Source organism: Homo sapiens, chromosome 4 (assembly GCF_000001405.40).
Source record: "Homo sapiens chromosome 4, GRCh38.p14 Primary Assembly".
NCBI lineage: Eukaryota > Metazoa > Chordata > Mammalia > Primates > Hominidae > Homo > Homo sapiens.
This window is the reverse complement of record NC_000004.12, coordinates 61591758-61611365: the sequence shown is the minus strand read 5'-3', so window position 1 is coordinate 61611365 and position 19608 is coordinate 61591758. Positions and strand designations below refer to the sequence as shown.

Below are 19608 nucleotides of genomic sequence, written 5' to 3'. Positions count from 1 at the left end.
ACTATATAGGCCAGCACAACACTCTCATCAGGTATGGCCATGTGACTAGTTCTTGCCAGTGGCTTGTGACTGGAAGCAATGGTGATCTTTCTAGGCCATTGTTTTGAGTACCTGTAAGGGTTCTTCCGCATCTCATCTATTTCCTCTGTCTGCCCCATAGGCTGGATGCAGGGGACTCCTGAGCCATAGGGATGATAGGAATCACAAGTTTCATATGAAAGAAAACTACCTGTTAAGCATCAACTCTGAAAAACGCATATGGACAAACAATAAATTTCTATGTGTTAAGCAACCGAAATTTTAGGGTTTATTTCTGAGAGCATCTAACATCTGCCTAACACAGAATGGTCCTACATATATTAACATTTTGACATAATGGTCTCGTGTGGGGAAAGAAAGACAATATTTTCTCTATGCCTAAGAATATTAAAAGATCTTGATAAGTAGTTGTCACTTTTTAATCAAATTGCTAATGCTGATTATATGCAAACACTCTACACCCCACTATCTTTTTAATATTTATTTTTTGACCTCTATAAAATGGATTCTAGTTTAAAAGAAAAAAAAAGATTTCCTTTTCCAATGCATTAATGTAAGGTTCTGTTTGCCACGATTAAAGTCACTTTTCTTTTATCTGTCCACCGACAAGCAGATAATATGTTAGGAGAATTAACTGAACATTTGAATGTTTGTCTACAGTCTTGTTAAAAATCAAGAGAAAATGTGACATTCTCTAGCCACTTGACCGTCTCACTATAAATTCAATGAAATTATATTTTGAGAAATTATCTTAGACTTGGAAAAAATTCTTAGACTACGGTTACTCTTAATCTGACACATCATTTACATTATGAAAGGTTAAGTTGTATTTCACCAAGAAAGATTGGAAATATTTTTCCTCTGTTCATCACAACTGTTAAAGATCAGTCCCGACAGAAGAAGATGATCTATCATGTCTAAATCTGAAATTACACAACTTATAAACTGTAGTTGCTGACATACCCCTGGGTAATTCTTGGCAGTAGAACTAATCAGAGATGAAGAAACAATGCATTACGCACATAAGTTTAAAATTAAGAATGGGTTACAGGAATGTGACACTTGACTGGAAGAAAGGTGCTAGGTTAGAGATTTAAATATTATATATTAAATGTTCATGTCATAGATTCCCTTGCATTAGAAATAAAATCAGGCTCTTTTATAAGAAGTATATATATATATATATATCTCACTTCCCTTATTTTAAACTAAAATGCTCATAAAAATATAATTAATTCTTTTCATTAGACTTCATACACACATTCCAGTTAGTACAGAACCCTCTGGGTGTCCTACTATAATCTTGATATAATTACTAACACTGCCCATTTTTACTTTCAAAAATGTCTGTATTTAGACATAAATACAAACCACCCTGTGCATGACACATCTTTGGTACCTATTATATATCTTTCATTTCAATTTCTTTGGGGGTGGGTTATTAAAGGTAGCTAAAATAATCATCCATAATTTATGCCAAATTTATTCCGTATATTAAAAAATGACTGCTCACAGGCCATTTTAAAATTCAGATCAGAAGCTGGAGGGTCCTAATTTAATATATTTGTTATCACAATGCTACACATTTGAAAATAACACAGGGCGTGCCCGAGGGAAGGAGGGATTAAGACATAACAATATTAGGTGAAGCTGGGCTGCATAATCAGGATTGTACATACAGGAAAGAAAATTCAGGAGGAAGAACTCTAAGATACTCAAAACATACACAGACAAACTGAACTCAATATTAATAATGTGATTTAAGACATGAAATACTTTAAAATTAATCCTAAGTATTTTGGGTGTTTTCTGCATGAACCATGTTTACTCCTTTAATTTTAAGAACTAGTCTATTAAATATTAATAGCCATGAAAATTAATCAGGCACTGTCTTACTCATAAATGACTTTATGAAACCTAATAAAGGTTTTAAAATAGTCTTTAGGGTGTAGTCCAAAATAGTACATACAGCATATTATACCTTGCTTATTAATTGTGTATTTGCACTTCTGCAGAGTTAAACTTTATTTTTTTAGGAGGTGAGGAATAACACATGAGTTTAGATTTCTCTGAGAATACTGATGAGCAAATTTTAATTAATCTCAACATTAAACAATTTGGAACTCAGATATCTTTTTCATGTAAAATTGGCGAACAGACTAACCAATATAAATATTGTTGGCAATGATTTTCCTGCCTTATCCCTGCTGTGACTTCCTTTTTACAGTTAATAGCTTCACAGTTGATAAGGCTTATCTACATAAACACTAACAAATAAGCATTATCTCCCATTCTAACTGAATGCTAAACTGTAAAGAAAAAAAAGACAATTTTTAAAGTGAAAATAACTATTACTTTTTTACCTTAATCTTAAGCAAGCAATTCCAAATGGTTCACAGATAGTCAGTGAAATATTAATTTTCCAAAAGAAGATTATAAGCTTGTTTCAAGAACACTGCCACATGATTTGACTGAGATGACTGAATGTCACTATCAATATCCGTTATAGTTCTAAGTCATATCTCTATGCTGTTGCATATTTCAATGATTTAGACTATTGTCAATTAATAGTACAGATAAATAAAAGTTATAGTAAATTCCATGTGTCTATGACCTTATAGTGTCCCAAAAAAGAAAACAGAGACATATTTAGAAAACAAAATTCACAGACGAAAATTTTACTTCCTCATTCTTATTATCTCCTTGTACACATGCAGTAAAATATGCAGAAAGGTCAGCAAAAGAGCCAAATAAATAATAAAATAGCTAAGTAACAAACTATAATACATTAAAAAAATGTGGACTGAATGAGTTTGCAAATTGCTTTTTTTTCCTTTTGCATTTCTAATATTCGCCTCAGTTTTTATTTGTTTTGGGGTTTTGTTTGGTTTTTAATTCAGTTTACTTATAATGTCAACTGTAAGAGGGTTTTTGTTTTTCTGTATATTCTCTGAAATAGTCTTTAGCATTTTACAGTAAATTAATATGAACAGTGTTTATGCTGTTAACTTGATCAATGGAAGAACTAACAGCATTGTTAGATGTTCGGCCTCTGCCAAGTTCAAGGACATCATCATGACTGGATCAGATGGAACAAGATTGGGAGTATGAAAAGTCAAAGCTGTGTGTGCAAATGTGGGAAGCTGGTAGGAGGCAGTCAGTGGAAGCAGACTGGTCCAGTTTAATGGGCCTTACAGATGTTTATTCACTGCTCTCCTCCTATGGAATGCCACCACCTACTTCCTAAGACAGAAGCTTTGGATTTATTCTGTTCTTTTTTCTTTTCTCACGGTCTGAATCCAATTAACAATGAAACTACCTTTGCGAAGATGGTGACAGTGAGAGAAATCTAGCCTGGTTGACTCCATCTTGCTTCTAGCCTCACAGACTGGCTGTTCTGGCTCTTAGAAAAGAGCATGGGCCAGGCTAACCCTAACCACAGGAGGAATTTAGTTTACAGTTTAATTATGAAGCAAGGATGATAACACTGCCTCCCTAAAACTGATCTCTTCCTTGTTCAGGGGCTGAAACTGCCTCTTTAAAACTGATGAAAAGTCACAAGATTAGGATTATTGCAGAGGTCTGAATTCTGCAAAAATGTAGGCATAGTTTTTATAATTCTTTACTGCTCAGGAGTCAGGTAGCCAGAGGTTACAAGATTTGTGACTTCTTCAATTGTAGGTAATATCACTAGTGTAGAACTTAAGATTTTGTTTGTTTGTTTGTTTGTTTGGGTGGAACCTCTGTCACCCAGGCTGGAGTGCAGTGATGCAATCTCGGCTCACTGCAACCTCCGCCTCCTGGGTTCAAGTGATTCTTCTGCTTCAGCGTCCTGAGTAGCTGGGACTACAGGCGTGCACCACCACACCCGGCTAATTTTTTTTGTAGTTTAAGTAGAGATGGGGTTTCACCATATTGGTCAGGCTGGTCTTGAACTCCTGACCTCGTAATCCGCCCACCTTGGCCTCCCAAAGTGCTGGGATTACAGGTGTGAGCCACTGCGCCTGGCCAGATTGGTCTTTTGAGACTTTTTTCAGACTTTTTCATTCTGGCAACCGACTGGCTCCACCCACACTCATGACTCATGACTCCACCAGTTCTGTGAACACCCAACCAGAGGCAGACTTGATACACTGGGAGTGTTTTCCACACCCCTATGATTGCATCCCCCACTCATCAGCAGCACCCATTCCCTAGTCCCCCACCCACCAAACTGTCCTTGGAAAACCCTAACCTCTGAGTCTTTGGGGAGACTGATTTGAGTAATAACTCCTCTTCTTCATGGCAAGGCTAGTGTTAATTTAACTCTTTCTTTACTGCAATACCACAGTCTCAGTGAATTGCTTTTGTCTGTGTAGAGGGTAGGAAGAACCTGTCTGGCAATTTCAACACTATGGTTTTCTCTCAATTCAGTTTCCCTTCTCCATTCATTCCACAACCACCCTAAATCAATCCTCTCATATCTGGACTTGTTATGTTTCCAATTGGTCCTCATACCCCCATTATTTTCCCCTTAATTCTATCCTCATTATGCAAGACAGGGACTCTCCTAATGCAAGAATTTATTTTGCTTCCTCACTTAAAACTGCAGTGAGACCTCTTCATGATCATTATTATGGACTAAATTGTCCCCTCTCCCTGCCCCCAAATTCATATAATAAAGCCCTAACCTCCAATGTGACTATATTTGAAGACGGGGCCTTTAAAAAGACTAAACGAGGTTAAATAAGGTCATAAAGATGGGACCCTCGTCCAATAGGACTGATGTCCTTATAAGAAAAGAAAGAGACACAAGGAGTTTAAGGGCACAGAGAAAAGGCCAAGTAAGGACACAGTGAGGACCTGTCTGTCTACAAGCCAAGGAAAGGCCTTGACAATACCTTGATCTTGAACTTCTAGACTCCAGAAATGTGAGAAAATACATTTCTGATATTCAAGCCACCCAATCTCTGGTATTTTGTTATGGCAGCCTTAGCAAACTAACACAGTCATTAGAAAATCCAATGCTCTTGACATAATAAGCAAGCTATTATTTTGCCTTGTCTGTAGATACCTCATCATTACAGCTCTCTGATTTACACTTTAACTTCAAATGTTCACCAAACTGCATTAGTTCACTTCACATCTGTGCAATCCCATACTTCCCCTTTAGCCCATGGTAAAGCCTTAGCCTAGAATGCACTGTGACCCCTTTTTTTTTATGTACAGTTTAAGACTGAGCTAAGATTCCAACCTCTCTATGACATTTTCTAGCTCACCTCAGGCTGCATTAGGAGCCCTTCCAGGGATACTTTAATTACCTGTATCACTCTCATTGCATCTACCATATTTTATGTAAAGTATTTGTCGTCTCTCCCATTAAATCTCCTTGTAATTAGGGACTATTTTAGGCATGTTTAAGTTCCCAGCATTTAGTATGATTCCTGGCTGAGGAGTGTATGTGGAAGAATATCTTAGATGAAGGCTTATTTTCATGGGCATTTTGAGTCTGTTTATGCTGTCAATCCTGGACTTGCTCAGCATCAATTCTCAGTACTCATTTCACATACATAAGCTTTTCATAAAGGTCTATAGAAATACAGAAACCATGGATATGTGTCACTTGCTTAAAAAGTAAAACTTGCACTTTTTTGTATCAAGGTAATATTATTGCCAAAACAACAGCATTTTGGTTTCTCTTATATGTTAAGTTTGAAATCAATGATCTTGAACTATACATAATTTACTTGTATCCCTAGACTATAACTACTCACACATCACAATTTTCACATAGAATATGGAATAATTAATTAGAGTGTATATTCTTGCACTTATTCTGACTTCACTAGAGTTTGCCAGATGCTTCTACAGAGTACCATCACATTATCTATTTAGTATTATTGTGGACACACATTTGCTGTTGACTTTTCTTATGAAATGTCAAGTTCTCTCTGACAAAACAAAACTAACAATCTTCTCCACTCCATGCCTATACACAAAAAGTAAAAAATATTATTTACTTTTTAAGATCCAAATTCTATGAAAATTACTTCCTTATTTTCTGTGGAAGTGAAAGTTATAATGAGACGAATTTAAAGGCTTCCTCAAAACGCAGAATAGTTTACTTCTGATTTCCATTTTGTTGCAAGATACTTTCTTTTTATAATACAAATTTTCTAATTTTTGTAGATTTTGTGATCATAATATACTTTTTAGTTTTTTTTTTCCTTCTCTTTTTTTTTTTTTTTTTTTTTTTTTGAGACAGAGTCTCACTCTGTCGCCTAGGCTGAAGTGCAATGGCATGATCTCAGCTCACTGCAACCTCTGCCTCCCAGGTTCAAGTGATTCTCCTGCCTTAGCCTCCCAAGTAGCTGGGATTACAGCGGTGTGCCACCACACCCGGCTAAGTTTTGTATTTTTAGAAGAGATGGGATTTCTCCATGTTGGCCAGGCTGTTCTCAAACTCTTGACCTCAGTGATCCATCTACCTCGGCCTCCCAAAGTGCTGGGATTATAGGCATGAGCCATTGTTCCTGGCCACTTTTTAGTTATTTTCTATTCAGACTGAAACATTTGATTACTGCTAAAAACAAGTTTTGTTTTTCTCTGTTACAAATGAATCATACCATTTACTATGCATTATCTAACAATGCCTCATTTGGTATATGTGTTAAAAAACAAGAAATGTTAGGACTGTAAAAACTGCAGCAATTATTTTTAGAGTAGAACACATGGAATTATTTTACTGCATTTTAAAGTTCAAACTGAACTAAAGAAAGGGGAAGAAAGGATCATTTGAGTTTCAATATTATTTCAAGACTTTTCTTTGCTAAGTCATATTATACAATGTTAAATATTTAAACAATTTTAACATGCGATTCATTCGTTGTTTCATTCCAAGAGAAAAATATTATGGTATTTCTTTGCACCTTTTATAGGCATTTTATTCCAGAGCAATAATACCAGAAATTAAATAATTTCAAAATAATTTTAAAAGTTATAGTTAGTATAAGCATGGCTCATGCTTCTATATCATTTTAATTATCTAGACCTCAACAACCTAGACTAGTGGAGGGCAGACACTGACATAATGAAGGCATCCAGGTCTCAGCTCAAAATCAGAAGCACAGCTGCGTGGTTCTAGTCTTACAGAGGAATGTGTTTATAAGCAAAGGAGAATTCTGATCCCATTTTCACTTTGTGGCCTTTTAACCTAGAACAGCCCAGGGCTTCAGTATTCGTTTCCCAGACCACTGATGATAAGACAGGGAAAAGACCTTAGGTGCAAAAGCTATGACAAAACTAAAATTAGAATTCAAATTTAATTAGTGCCAAATGTCTCTCTCATGCAGGATCTCCAATCAGATCATAAGGCATCCAGCACTCTAAATGCCTCAAGATGAATACTGAGGTATTGATTTTTTTCTTTCAGAATTGAAGGACCACCATATGGGAACAGTGTTTGTCTCCTTTGATTGACTTGGGTTTTGTGGATGCATATGGTGCTGCTGCAGGAACCTCAAAGATTCTGAGATTTGGAATCTCTGTGACCAGGGTAAATGGTGCCATTAAACTGAATCCCAGATGTCAGGGAAAACAAACAAACAAACAAACAAACACACACACACACTAAGAGGGATGGGAGTTGGTAAGTTTAATTTTTCAAAAGCATCTGTTCCTTGTTCATTTTTTCTTACTGAAAATATTCTAAGTGCTGAGATATAAGTGCTGTATTCCAAAAACTTTGACCGTACATAAAAGAGCATAATTAAATACTCGTGGTTCTAGCCTTACAGTGGAATGTGTTTATGAGCAAAGGAGAACTCTGATCCCATTTTCACTTTGTGGCCTTTTAACCTAGAACATGACCAGCTATATAGAAAATGAGTAGCAATATATATTTGGAAAGAGCTCTGAAGTTTTCTAAACTCCTAAGCTGGATTGTTTAAGAGGCATTTCCTTACAAGTGTAACTCATTGGTAACAAACTTTATAGTGAAACCCTTCCCTAAGAGTTTGATAGTTTCGATTCCAGAATTTAGCCCGCTAAGTTAAAAAATGCAGTTGGCCACCCACTGTGCTGGTTATTTCATTCAGAGGAAAATGCTGGAGTGTTGGTAATGCCTCTAATCCCTAAAATTCTATTCCTGTTAATTACTAATGTAAATACTGTGTGGGTGACTGTTACTTATGTGGTCTATTGAAATGTTTCCAACAATATTGACAGAATGAAATGTCACCGTGAGACAATATTCACAAGGATAAACCCCCTTCTGTAAAAATCTACGAATATTATTGCTTGAAATATCTTACTTTAATAGAATGGAGAAAATATAAGAAATTCAATTATTCAATACCCAGGCCAAAGGAATGATTTGTAGGTGATATGATATGCTACATTTCTGATTAATATAGTGACATTTTCATAGCTCAAAATATAGCCCCTTTTAAGTATGTAGATGAACTCCTGAGTTTACTTTGAGAAACTAATAATATCCCTGCTCATAGTTGTAATCTATTATACAGTATTATACTTGGCATTGTTATTTCTAGTGAAGGATAAACTGTTTTGTGATTGTTCTGCATAATAATACTGAATTGCCTTTGAAGTAAGGGATGGATAGTTTTGATTGTTTCCCCAGCATCTGTCTCTCAAGCTTTCTGTCAAGAACCTGCAGACTGACCTTTGGTGAGCTCTGTTCTTTCATTTTTTAATATGTGCTTCACATGGGATTGAAACTAATCTTAGCTCAAAGGGTGGGCACCGATTGGCTTAAGGCAGGGTTTCTCAATATTGGTAATATAGACACTTGGAGCTTGCTATTTTTTGTTGTTGGGGGCTTTCTGTACGTTACAGGATATTTTGCAGCATGTTTGGCCTCTTCACATTACAAATCCCTAACATCTTTCCAGTTGTGACAACCAAAAATGTCTCTATGCATTGCCAAGTATTCCATGGAGGCAAAATTACCCCCAGATGAGAGCCACTGGTTTAAGGCAATCTATGCTTCCCATCCTCTCACCAAGTAATTACTTTAGGGATATGATGTCAAGCTGATCCAATAAGGATAAGTGGGTTTTTCTGGAAAAGTAGGGATAAAGAGGCTTTTCGTTGGACTTACTGAGTCTTGAAACTGCTTTAGCCTTGATGGGGAGACCCTATCAACCTTGATGGGGTTATTACACATTGGAATTCTAAAGAAGCAACCAAACCAGGGTTGGCAGATATAAGACAGGGAGGTCATTTTAGCATGGATCAAGCGTTTATTTATTAACCGTTTACTTATTTTACTAGTTATTATTATTTATTATTTATCTTAAATTAGATTTTATCCCAGTTAAAAGTGAAATTTCCTTAACAAACACATTTTTGATCTAACAACATATATTCACAATCACGCAGAAGGCAGAATACTTGAAAATTTGTTTTAGAAAACATAAATCACTTTAAGACACATGGATGATGGAAATACCTAAGTATAGTAGTTTGAAAGACCTTAAAATGATAGTGCTTCCACTTACCCACTAAAGGAAGATATAAATTTATTTTTATTTCTCCATGAACCTCTGAAAATCTTTTCAAAAACAATTATGTTGTCTTCCTTAGCAGAACGGCCACAGCTGAATGCTGACAGAATAGTCCCTACCACCACTGGTATGAGGTATGATAGAGAAAATTAAACTTGCAATATTTATGAGTCTTAGCATGTAAACAGATGCTTTTGTAATATCATCTAGGTTCTGAAAACTGTAGGAAAAAATGATAATTTATTTCCAATCATGGTTATTTGGGCTTCATGAACACAATATCAAATATGTGCAAAAACTTGTTCCCAAAACTATGACCAAAGTTTATTGTTCTCCATGGGAATTAATAGTTTGAATTCATTGAGTAGAGCTCATTCATATTTTTAAAATTGTGTTTAATTGACATAAATTGATTAGGAAATGACATATTTTGTTGTTTTTATAGTTACTAAAATTAAGATTGTGTTCTCTAGGTTTCAAAAACTGGTCGAATGGTAGAATATTAAAGAGTATATATAGTTCTATAAAACGAAAAGATAAAGGAATGGGTGTTCCCTGTGTGATTTGAAAGGAAACAAAGTATCTTTATTGAAATTCGCCTACAAGATTTTTGGCGCATTCGGTAACACATAAATTGAAAACTTGTTAATCACAATGACTCAAATTCATAGAGAGATAATTTTAAAGTAAAAAAGTAACAACATTCTTATATAGAAATGTAAAGGAAGGAGTGGGATAGGGAAAAGATACTATCCATACTATAGAAATGAAGATTGATGTCCTGGAATCCTTAAAAGACTGAATGCCCCCAAATAAAAAAAATGCCCCCAATTTCTAAAACTTTTCTGATTTTGAAGGTTAAACTGCATATGTTGTAAGGATTTTCCCAGAAACAGAATTCTATACTGAGAAGTCATATAAGAAAATAATTAAATATCAATGGGCAAGTAAAACATTCACAAATGTAAATATACCATGTTTTTTTTAGAACGTGAAGCTAATGTATTGCTAAAGGCATAATAAAGAAAGATCCTTTTTGAGACAGGTGTTCTTTAAACCCTTCTATTTTGACTTACATAGAAAAATAAACATTATCAAAATCGGGAATGACACCTCTGATTCAATAATAGAGGACCATGTAAAAACGTTGATCTCTAGTCACGATAATAACTTCTTTGGCACTCTGGTGCTATCCTTGTGGAAAAAACAGATTTTTCTATGTTTATAATAAGCCTTCAAAGCAAGTATTCTAAATTGCTCCAAAGCAGTGTGTACCAGGACATGTGGCTTGGATGCCAAACCAAAGCCTATTGTAAAGATTTCAAACCACATGCTCTGAATTTACAGATCACGCATAAGTATCTGAGGAGTAGGGAGGTCTGACTGCTGAACACCTAACTTCCTAAACCTAACATAATTTTGGAGCTCCAGGAGACAACTTTTTCTTAAAAAAAATCTGCAGTTGTTGAATATCTCATTTCCAATTCATTTCCTCTTTTTTTTTTTTTTTTTTGCAAGGCAGCCTCACTCTGCTGCCCAGGCTGGAGTGCAGTGGAGTGATCTCGGCTCACTGCAACCTCTGCCTCCCAGGTCCAAGCGATTCTCCTGCCTCAGCCTCCTGAATAGCTGGGACTACAGATGCATGCCACCACACCCAGCTAATTTCTGTATTTTTAGTAGAGAAGGGGTTTCATCATGTTGGCCAGGATGGTCTCGATCTCCTGACCTCATGATCTGCCCACCTTGGCCTCCCAAAGTGGTGGCATTACAGGCGTGAGCCACCACGCCTCGCCCATTTCCTCTTTTAATTAGAAAACTTTCAGTTTAAATTAATTTTTTATCTTGCCAATAAATGGAAGATACACTTGTCTATCAAAATAACAAATATCAGTCATTTTGCTTTCCAAATGAACTAGTTCAGAAAATTTATTTATAAAATTAAACTTGGAGTAAAAGCTGTTGTGACTCAGAAAACAATACCCCAAAATGAAGGCCTCAGAAGTGGCTGCAGAAGCGAAAATTTTTCTCTGACCTTCTCCTGTTCTCTTGTCTCAGTCCCATTCATGCTGGAGGCTAGCCATAGAAACCAGAACCCCTTTTCCCCAAGGCTAGCCATAATACCTAAAATAATTACTCTATCTGTCCCTCCAGCTTTCCTTGGAAAAACTGACCATAAAGAAATTATCTAGGCCAGGCGCAATGGCTCATGCCTGTAATCTCAGCACTTTGGGAGGCCCAGGCAGGTGGATCACTTGAGGTCAGGAGTTCAAGACCAGCTTGGCCAACAGGGCGAAACCGCATCTCTACTAAAAATACAAAACTTAGCCAGGCGTGGTGGCAGGCACCTGTAATCCCAGCTACTCAGGAGGCTGAGGCGGGAGAATCTCTTGTAACCAGGAGGTGGAGGGAGCCCAGATTGCGCCATTGCACTCCAGCCTGGGTGGCAGAATGAGATTTTGTCTCCAAGAACAAAAAGGAATTATCTGACCTACCTTGTTTCACTGTAGATGATAAAACTCCCATTCCAGAGAGGGTCCTGCCTCATACCCAGAAGGAATGAATGATCTGAGAGGCCAAGAAGAATCTAGACAGATGGGCCTTGCTGGGTTTCCCCAGTCACTCAGTCTATTAGCATTAGGCCATAGCATTTTGTGCAATCATATTTCTACATGGCTGTCCATACTTTGTTGAGCCTAAGTATAAAAATGAACAATTTATCCTGTATCTTTGGGTCTTCATTCTGAAGGCTTCTGTGTACACATTCATAAAATTTGTATGTATTTCATCCAATTCATGTGCCTTTAGTGAGTTTATTTTTTCAGTGAGCCTTCAGAGAGCAAAAGCTAAGTTTTCCCTTGGCCCCTAAAAGGCATAGGGTCATATCCTTGTATTAATCTCTTTACCAGTTGGAGCATCAGCTCTGTCATCAGTAAAATAAAATAATTATGTCTGCTCTATCATCCTGACAAAATCAAAAGAAAATTTTAAATAAAAAATGGATAAAATATAGTCATTTATTCCTTAATAAATGAAAAAAGTAAGCTTTTTGAAATCTTAAACCATTAGATAACATTTTTTCATGAAATTAATTTGCATTTTACAAATATATGTCATATATACCTTATATACTTACATCAGAAGTTATGATCTCACTCGTATGTGTGTAAATGTGTTTGTGTGTTCACATGGATGCCAACAGCGCTGGTATACTATTTTCAAAAGTGCCACTCTAAGGATATTTGAGTTCATGCTGTAACCATCAAAACACATGTTCTTCAATCATTTCTGACAAAAAATTATAGTACAACAGATTAAAGGAATGTAGGGGATGAGATTTATGTTGTAGCTTCTTTTTGTTGTTTGTTGCTGATATTATTTTATAATGAATTACAGCTATGACATATGTATAGATATGTATCTGATAGCATCTCATGAGAATAATTTTTCCTTCACGTTCACTCATGTGTAACATTTTAGATGTTATGTACTTCACAAATTACATTAAGATCCACTTTTCTGTTAGTTCGCAGGAGGTTCATGTTGCCCTCCAGTATCCATGTCGGTTTGTGCTGCTAATATTATTTATGCTTTTCCAATTCTATGCCTTTCCATGAAAAATTATACTACATATGTTTGTTGTTATAGTTGAACATTTTTTTTTTAATGTCACAGCAGGGAAATGCTAACTTACTATAAACCATTTGAAGGGCTCTATGTTTGCTTTAGAAACAAACTTAGAAAGTAATTCAGGATTGTATCTCCTCAGGCAAGGATGATCTACTTGAATTACCTAGAAAGGTGAAAAACCTGTATTATGATAAATTCTGCAGAGAAAATTTGTGAGAGAGCAGTATGTTTTGTGTCCCTAATTTCTAAAATATGTACAGATAAATAATTCCCACTGTCCAGAAGATTTTAACTGATGAAACTGGCCATAGGTATTTTTATGCCAAATTATAATAAAAAGACAGATATTTGTGGTTTGGAGAGAGAAAGAAGATAAAAATGAGTGTCTAAGTAGTTAGAAATATGTAGCTATAACATATATGAGAAATACATATGAAATATATATCACCTATAACAGAAAACCTGAAGGCTATACCATATATCCAGGCTTTGGTGGACTTCACGTGTATAGTTGTAAAAGTAAAAAAAAAAAACAAAAAACGACCATTACCATGAAACAAATAAAAAAGTCAATGTTACTAAATGAGGGGATCATATTATAATATGATATTTTAAAAAATGTTTGTATTGGTAAAGAACTGTCATAAATATTTCATATAACATTGATGCACTACATTTGCTAAGTAAATTCAAATCTCCAGGAGAACATTAATATGTAATAGTAAAATATACAGAGTTGTTCAGATGATCATTGGTGAAGGTTTGGGATCAAAGTGGCTCTAAATAATTCAACAACATCAATAAGCTTAAGTGAAAAGTTCCCTTTAGTTCAATTATCATCTACTCACCTTTTAACCCATAGACAGCTAGTCTCCTTTCGTAACAACTATCTCTCCTTCTTGTCTTTTTATTACTTTTGAAGTATATTTTCTTCTTTTTATATTACAGCATTCCTGTAGACTTATATTCTTTGCCAAGCATTACTTTCTCAATACACGAACGAGTCCAAGAAACAGCTCCAAATGTTTATTTTCAAAGATTGATAGTACTAATAGTTATGGGCACTTAACATTTTTGGAAAGATCTCAAGTCTTTTTGAGCCAGAACAAAAACACATAATATATTTATATATTGAAATTAGCCCTTATGCATGAAAAAAAAAAACACACTTCACTTTTACCATTTGGAAATCATAATCACAAATAGATATGATTTATATATCTTTTTCTACACAAGCGATAAGGTAAATATCTAACTTTACAGAAACCATTATCAATTAATGCATTTTATCATATTAACAAATACTAGGATAACAGTTATTTCCCAACAGTTTTTTGAGACAGGGTATTCCTCTGTCACCCAGGCTGGAGTGCAGTAAGGCAATCACAGCTTCCTGCAGACTTGAACTTTCAGACTCAAGCAATCCTCCCACTTTACCCTCCCAAGTAGCTGTGGCCACAGGCTTATGACACCACATCCAGCTACTTATTTAATTTAATTTTTGGTAGAGACGAGGTCTCACCATGTTGCCCAGGCTAGGGTTGAACTCCTAGGCTGGAGCAATTCTCCTGCCTGGAGAATAAAAAATAAACAATGAGTCAATTAAAGCTTATGATTGGTAGACAGATACAGTATTCAAGGAGGCAAATTTCATAATATGTTTTCAGTGTAAGTTGAGCTCTGGCAGAGAATGAAAAATAAAATCAGAATGCTACACAATAATAAACTTAAGTATATAATAAACCAAAGTTACCAGTGTGGCACAAGTAAAAATACACTTTCATTTTTATAACTTATTAGCAAAAGGTTTGACTGTGAAGATTGCTCTGTCTAAAGTCTTAGTATAACATTAGAAATTATACAGTACTCAGTTATATTCAAGTCTGATTACAAAAGGCCGGCATAATACATTTTCTCATTTATAAGTATTAAAAAGTAACTAAGGGGCAGAGCAAGATGGCAGAATGGAAGTATACACTGTTTGTCCCCTTCTGCTGGAACAGCACATTTTAACAACTGTCTGCACATAGAAAAGCTCCATGACAAGAACCAAAAATCAGATGAGCAATCAAAGTACCTGGTTTTAGCTTCATATTGCTAAAAGAGGGCACTGAGGAGAGCAGGAGAGGCAGTCTTGAATCACCATTGACACCCCTCCCCATTCCCCGGCTGTGGTCATGAGGCACAGAGAGAGTATTTGTGCACTTTGGGGAGGGAGACACAGTGACTGAGAAACTTTACATTGAATTCAGTGCTGCCCTGTCACAGCAGAGAATTAAACCATGCTGGGCTCAGCCAGCACCCACACAAGAAGGGAGCATTTGGACCAGCCCTAGACAGAGGGGAATCACTCATCCCATGGGCCGGAACTTGGGTTTCATGCAAGCCTCACCACTGAGGGCCAAAGTGCTCTGGGGTCCTAGGTAAACTTGAAAGGAGATTTGGGACACAAGGACTGCAATTCCTAGTGCTAGGCTAGGCTTAGAGCCAGTGAACTTGGGTGGCATGTGACTTAGGAAGACACCACCTGGCACAGCTCAAGGAGTGCTTGTGCCATCACTCCTCTAACCCCAGGCAGTGTAGCTTGTAGCAACAAAAGTTACTCCTTCCTTCTGCTAAAGGAGAGAAGAGTGAAGAAGAAAAAGGACTTTGTCTTGCATCTTGGATACCAGCTCAGCCACAGTAGGATAGGGCGCCGGGCAGAATCATAAGGCCCCCATTCCAGGCCATAGCTCCTAGATGACATTTCTCAACACATCCTGGATCAAGAAGGACCACTGCTTTGAAGTGAAGAGCCCAGTCCTGGAAGGACTTATTACCTGCTGACTAAAGAACGCTTGGGCCCTGAAAAACCACCATTGATACCCAGGGGGTATGCAATGGGCCTTGGGCTCTGAGACGTGCTGGCTTCAGAAAAGACCCATCACATTCCCAGCTGTGGTGGCTATGGTGAAATACTTCTGTTTAAGAAAAGCAGAGGGAAAAATAAAGGGGATTTTGTCTTGCACCCCAGCTATCAGCTCAGCCACAGTGGGATAGGGTAGCAATCAGGCCCTTGGAGTCCCTGAGTCGAGGTCTAGGCTCTTAGACAGCATTTCTGGACCTGCTCTAGGCCAGAAGGCAATACACTTCCCTGAAGGGTGAGTTCCAGGCCTGGCAACATTCACACAAGCTGAGGCAGATGCCTTGGGCTTTAAGTGAACATTGGTTGTGGGCTGGAGAAACCCCATGGACTAGTAGTGGTGGGAGCCACAAGAGAGGATCCTCAGCCATAGTAAGAGGAAGGAAGAGTGGGAAGGACTTTGTATTGTGGTTTAAGTTCCAGCTTAGCTGCAGAAGAATAGAACATCAGGCAAATTGGTAAGGTTTTTGACTCCAGTCCTTGGCTCCCAGACAGCATCTCTGGACACTCCCCAGGGCCTGAGGAACTCACTACCTTGAAGGGAATGGCCTTGAGCAAGTCCCAGTACCATGCTGGCTTCAGGTCTGACCCAGCACAGTCCCAGTGATGGTGGTCACAGGGGTGATTCCATCATTACACACCCTGTTCCAAGTGGCTCAGCACAGAGAGAGACACTCAATATGTTTGAGAGTAAGGGGAAAAAACAAGTCTCTGCCTGGTAAGTGAGATAATTCTTTCAGGTCTTATCCAAGACCACCAAGGCAGTGCCTCTATGAGTCTGCAAAAACCACAACATTATTGGGTTTGGGGCCCAAGTCCCTCCAAATACCTGGAAGGCCTTCCCAAGAAGGACAGGCACAAACAAGCCCAGACTGTAAAGACTACAATAAATATCTACCTCTTTAATTACCAAACACTGAAGAACACCTATAAGTATCAACAACATCCAGGAAAACAGGACCTCATCAAATGAACTAAATAAGGCACCAGGAACTAGTCCTGGAGAAACAGAGATATATGACCTTTCAGAAAGAGAATTCAAAATAGCTGTTTTGAGGAAACACAAAGAAATTCAAGATAGCAAAGAGAAGGAATTCTGAGTTATATCAGACAAATTTAATAAGCAGACTGAAATACTTAAAAGGAATCAAGCAGAAATGCTAGACTTGAAAATGCAATTGATATGCTGAAGAACGCTTCAAAGTCTCTTAATAGCAGAATTGATCAAACAGAGAAAGAATTAGTGAAATAGAAGGCAGTCTATTTGAAAATACACAATCAGAGGAGACAAAAGAAAAAAGAATAAAAACCAATAAGCATGCCTAGAAAATAGCCTCAAAAGAACACATCTAAGAGTTATTGTCTTTAAAGAGGAGGGAGAGAAAGAGACAGAGACAAGGGGGATTCATAGGGATAATATCAGAGAACTTTCCAAACCTAGACAAAGATACCAACATTCAAATACAAGAAGGTTATAGAACAGCAGGCAGATATAACTCAAAGAAGACTACTCTGAGGCTTTTAATAATCAAACTTCCAAAGGTCAAGGATAAAGAAGGGATCCTAAAAGCAGCCAGAGGGAAAAAACCAAACCGAAACAAAACAAAAAACCCAAATGACATAAAGCTCCAATGTATCTGACAACAGTTTTCAGTGGGAACTTTACAGGCCAGGAGAGAATGGCATGACATATTTAAAGTGCTGAAAGAAAAAACTTGTACCCTAGGATAGTATATCCAGTGAAAATATCCTTTAAGCATGAAGGAGAAATAAAGGCCTTCCCAGACAAGCAAAAGGTGAGTGATTTCATCAAAACCAGACAGGTAATGCTAAAGGGAGTTCTTCAATCAGAAATAAAAAAGATGTTAATGAGCAATAAGAAATCACCTGAAGGAAAAAAACAAAACAAGAAAAGAAGAAACAAACAAACAACAACAAAAAAAACCTCCCTGGTAACAGTAGGCCAAAGAAAAACACAGATTAGTATAACACTGTAATTATGATGTATAAGCTTCTCTTGACTTAACTAGAAGGACTAAATGATGAATCAATCAAAAATAATAACTAGAGCAACTTTTCAAGACATAAACAGCACAATAAGACATAAAGAGAAACAACAAAATGTTAAAAAGTGGGAGGATGAAGTTAAAGTGTAGAGTTTTTATTAGTTTCCTTTTTGTGAGTCTGTTTCTTTATGCAATCAGTGTTAAGTTGTCATCGGTTTAAATAGTGGGTTATAAGATAGTGTTTGTAAGCCTCATGGTAACCTTATGAAAAACATGCAATGGATACACAGAAAAGAAAAAGCAAGAAATTAAAGCATACAACCAGAGAAAAATCTGGGTTTGACCTTGTAGACTCCTTAAAAGGGATTCCAAATTTCCATGAACCATGCTTTGAGTATGGCTGCAATAAAGGGTTAATAGTTCCTGTGGGCAAAGGAGACCTAACACAATTCCCTTTAGCTTTTCCCATAAGCCATAATGAAATATTTGAATCATTTACTAAATTTTTTAACTCTGAACAATGCATATGGTAACACACAATTTCTTTCAAAATTAAATTAATAGCAAGAAATACTTGAAAGTAATTTAGCAGACATTATCAAAATGTACTTCCAGAATTGAAAGAAGCTAAATATTAGAGGAGAAGAAATAAGTAAATGCCCTCCATATAGGAAATTTCCCATTTCTCCATATTCTCTACATTTAGGCCTTGGGAAAAGTTATCTTCCTTCTCTCCTTTCTTTTCCTTTATATTTAAAGAGACATGCACACAGACAGTAATCCTTAAGAAATGTATTATATATTATAGGTTCTATGCCTTTCTTTCTTTTTATTACATAGAATGTGGATTCAATGGAAAAGTTCCTAACATGAGGTATTGTTTCTGATCTGTTATAGTTTATAAGAGAAATACGAGACAACATAATGGATCTGTCAAAGAAGTAAAGGAGAATACTTGAGCGGAATAACTCATGTATATAAATGCAGTTATTGCAGAACACTTACTAGGCTATGTACCCTCCAAAACTGCCACTGGCATTTCACCTCCTCACACTATTGAAAAAATCCTTAGCATCACCCCGAATGACTTCAGCAGAACGCAAGATCTTTTGTAAGCTATAAAATTACCTTCAGTGCTATTGATATGAACTGAAAACTAACTTTTCAGAAAGATGGGGAACAATTCTTTCTCTATTTTTTTTTTTTTTTTTTGAAGCAGTTTCATTCTGTCACCCAGGCTAAGTGCGGTTTTATGATCACAGCTCACTGCAGCCTTAACCTTCTGGGCTCAAGGCATCCTCTCACCTCAGCAACCCCGAGCAGCTGGGACCATAGGTGCACCCCACCAGGTACAGCTAACTTTTTATTTTTTGTAGAGATGGATGTTTCATAAAACATCCAGGCTGGTCTTGAACTCCTGGAATCAAGCAATACTCCTGCCTCGGCCTCCCAAAGGGCTGCGATTACAGGTGTGAGCCACAGCACCTGGCCTTCTCTCTCTCTCTCTTTTCTGCATGTTCCTAATGTG

General features: G+C 36.8%; 1 protein-coding gene across 59 annotated transcripts in view, besides 1 other annotated feature; it reads right to left on the bottom strand.

Moving 5' to 3' along the window:
• The window catches only part of ADGRL3 (adhesion G protein-coupled receptor L3), an 878010-nt gene that overhangs the window by 466970 nt on the left and 391432 nt on the right, over positions 1-19608 (bottom strand). The gene's annotated exons all lie outside the window — the stretch shown is intronic.
• Positions 16604-17105: an enhancer, noted in NCBI's record as "H3K27ac hESC enhancer chr4:62459979-62460480 (GRCh37/hg19 assembly coordinates)". NCBI's record gives its function as "activates a minimal SCP1, AML or CMV promoter by ChIP-STARR-seq in naive H9 embryonic stem cells {active_cell/tissue: H9 hESC(naive)}" and the evidence as "EXISTENCE:reporter gene assay evidence [ECO:0000049][PMID:30033119]".